Genomic DNA, 3,151 nt, shown 5'->3' on the forward strand with positions numbered 1-3,151 from the left:
ATGCCATCAGCCACTAGGTGGCAGCAGGGGCCCTTTGGATTTGAACAATGCAGCTCAGTCAGAGGGCTGGACTGGGACACCCCTACTCATGGTCTCTCTTGGCATGGTTTTGTTTGGTGACTCCAGGTGTCCCAACCTCCTGTGTCCATTGTAATATGTCCTGGGACCATCTCCCCCAGGGCCTTCAACCTCTCCTTGCTATCCTGGCTACTGATGGAAGATGTACCTCAAGCCTGTCCCATTCCTCACTTCCTGCTGAGACCTGGCCCCAACATGGCCAGCTCTATGTTCCTCAGACCCTCTCAGGCCACCTTCTCTCTTCTAGGCACTGTCACTGGGCTTCTCCCCACCCCATAGATCCACAGCCCCCAGGTAGTCCTACAGCTGTGTCCACTCGTGCAGCCTGCACCCCCTTCCCCTACTCGGCCACCCCATCTGAGTAGTAAGGGGCCCCTGCCTGATTGGAGACCCCCAGATGCAGACCCAGATCACACAGCACACTGATAAGAGGAGGGATTCCCACCTTAAAAGAAAGGCGTGGGACCAACCCCAGATCCCACCACTCTCGGCCTCAAGGGCAGGCATGACTAGAGGCCCTTGGTGGCCAGGACCCACTGCCTTCTTCACCGATCAGTTGGCATGGCCTCTCACCAGTGTTCCCTCCTAACACACCTGTTCTCTCTCTCACACACCCTAAAGCCGCTTGCCAACCACCTGTCACACAGCCACTCCATGCCTGTTGCTGCTTGGCACCCACTGGGGGCCAGGGATGTGAACAAACCTCATCTAAGCTGGCTGCCGGGTCCTAATGGGCAGGTCCGGTCCGCCCTCTAGGAGAGGTGCTGTCCGGTGAGGCATAAAATCCCGGGATTCTGGCTGGAGGCAGCTCCTGAGACTGCCGGCATGAAGGGGAGCCGTGCCCTCCTGCTGGTGGCCCTCACCCTGTTCTGCATCTGCCGTGAGTCTGTGCCACTGGGGTTTCCAGAACATTCAGGGGCGGGGGGGAGTGGGGGGTACCTGAGAAGGTAAAATCCTGGCATCGGGCCTCTGCAGTGAACACTCCACCTGCTTCTGTCACAGAAGTGGGCAAGGACCCTGCAGAACCCGCGCCCACCCTACTCCACCCCAACCAAGGACAAAGCCCAGCTGACCCAACACCAGCCCAGTGTCTCCTACCCCAGCCCAGTCCAGCCTGACCTGACCCTTCAAGCCTCTGGTCATAATAGCCTCTCATCAGGGGAAATTTCCCCCACACCAGGAGCTTAACTTTCCTTCCCTGGTGATCCCAGGGAATGCTGAGTGGAAATTGGAGCAGCTAAGATTAAGGGGGATGTGGAGGGGTCTTCGGGCAAGGTGGAGTTGGAGGTGTTGTGGAGGAAGCCCTGGGGAGGAGAGGTGAGCATTGAAGGGGAAGGTCTGGAGACCATGGAGGTTAGAGCCCTGGGGCAGGTCCAGGGCTGTGGTTGCACCAGAGTCACCCTGTCCTGTCCTGGCATCATCTCGCTCGTGATGCAGGGATGGCCACGGGGGAGGACAACGATGAGTTTTTCATGGACTTCCTGCAAACACTACTGGTGGGGACCCCAGAGGAGCTCTATGAGGGGACCTTGGGCAAGTACAATGTCAACGAAGATGCCAAGGCAGCAATGACTGAACTCAAGTCCTGCAGAGATGGCCTGCAGCCAATGCACAAGGCGGAGCTGGTCAAGCTGCTGGTATGAGGGCGGCGGGCACCCCATTTTCTAAAGATCTGCAGCCTTACCAAGACCACCCAACACAGCACCCACACAGCCTACCCCACCCACAGACATCCACCACCCACAGACATTGCACCCGCATCAGCCAGCTCAGGTGGACACCCCAGACCTCCTGTCCACCGAGCAGCCCCCAGACTCCATAGACCTCCTCCCCAGTCTGTGGGATACTCCTCCATGCACACATGTGAACATACACAGAGATCCAAACACAGGTGCAGACATGAAATGTACACTGCGTGCACACATGTATAAACACGTTCACACCCACATGCTCACACTGGGATATGCACACACATACATGTGTGCACACCATCACATGTGCACACACACCTCCCAGCTGCTGGGAGGAGATAGGCAGCAATATGCCAGACCCCCCCCCCACTGAGGGCCTTGCTTGCCTGATGGAGCTGTGGCTCTCCACTTATTGAGCACAGCCCTCTTAGTCCACATGTGTCTGCCTTCCAGGTGCAAGTGCTGGGCAGTCAGGACGGTGCCTAAGTGGACCTCAGACATGGCTCAGCCATAGGACCTGCCACACAAGCAGCCGTGGACACAACGCCCACTACCACCTCCCACATGGAAATGTATCCTCAAACCGTTTAATCAATAAAGCCTCTTCCGCAGCTCAGGCTCCTGTCTCTGCCCCCACAGAGGGGCACACAAATGGGGACATCAGGAACACACTCGAGGCCACAGCCACACACACAGACCCACATACAGAGGATCCCACTCAAGGAGCACACGTGCAAAAGTCCCCACAGAGGGACACACAAATGGGGACATCAGGAACACAGGGCCACAGCCACACACACAGACCCACATACAGAGGATCCTACTCAAGGAGCACACGTGCGAAAGTCCCCCACAGAGGGACACACAAATGGGGACATCAGGAACACAGGGCCACAGCCACACACACAGACCCACACACAGAGGATCCCACTCAAGGAGCACACATGCGAAAGTCCCCACAGAGGGGCACACAAGTGGGGACATCAGGAACACAGGGCCACAGCCACACACACAGACCCACACACAGAGGATCCCACTCAAGGAGCACACGTGCGAAAGTCCCCACAGAGGGGCACACAAATGGGGACATCAGGAACACACTCAGGGCCACAGCCACACACACAGACCCACATACAGAGGATCCCACTCAAGAAGCACAAGTGCGAAAGTCCCCACAGAGGGGCACACAAATGGGGACATCAGGAACACACTCGGGGCCACAGCCACACACACAGACCCACATACAGAGGATCCCACTCAAGGAGCACACGTGCAAAAGTCCCCACAGAGGGGCACACAAGTGGGGACATCAGGAACACAGGGCCACAGCCACACACACAGACCCACATACAGAGGATCCCACTCAAGGAACACACGTGTGA

General features: G+C 57.4%; 1 protein-coding gene across 1 annotated transcript; it reads left to right on the forward strand.

Annotated features, from left to right (window-relative positions):
- The first annotated feature begins 881 nt into the window (after positions 1–881).
- On the forward strand, positions 882–2,380 carry SCGB1C2 (secretoglobin family 1C member 2). The gene is made up of 3 exons (NM_001097610.3): positions 882–958; positions 1,516–1,715; positions 2,223–2,380. The coding sequence occupies exons 1-3, from the start codon at positions 904–906 to the stop codon at positions 2,253–2,255; spliced, it is 288 nt and encodes a 95-aa protein (NP_001091079.1). The 5' UTR covers positions 882–903; the 3' UTR covers positions 2,256–2,380.
- The last annotated feature ends 771 nt before the right edge of the window (positions 2,381–3,151 follow it).

The sequence above is a fragment of the Homo sapiens genome, chromosome 17 (assembly GCF_000001405.40).
Source record: "Homo sapiens chromosome 17, GRCh38.p14 Primary Assembly".
Taxonomy (NCBI): domain Eukaryota; kingdom Metazoa; phylum Chordata; class Mammalia; order Primates; family Hominidae; genus Homo; species Homo sapiens.

Bases quoted from the DNA above. Each gene is read 5' to 3' on its own strand.
- SCGB1C2 (NM_001097610.3), top strand. From the start codon at position 904: ATGAAGGGGAGCCGTGCCCTCCTGCTGGTGGCCCTCACCCTGTTCTGC. The intron at 959-1,515 runs GTGAGTCTGTGC...CTCGTGATGCAG, and splicing joins CACCCTGTTCTGCATCTGCC to GGATGGCCACGGGGGAGGAC. The intron at 1,716-2,222 runs GTATGAGGGCGG...TCTGCCTTCCAG, and splicing joins CGGAGCTGGTCAAGCTGCTG to GTGCAAGTGCTGGGCAGTCA.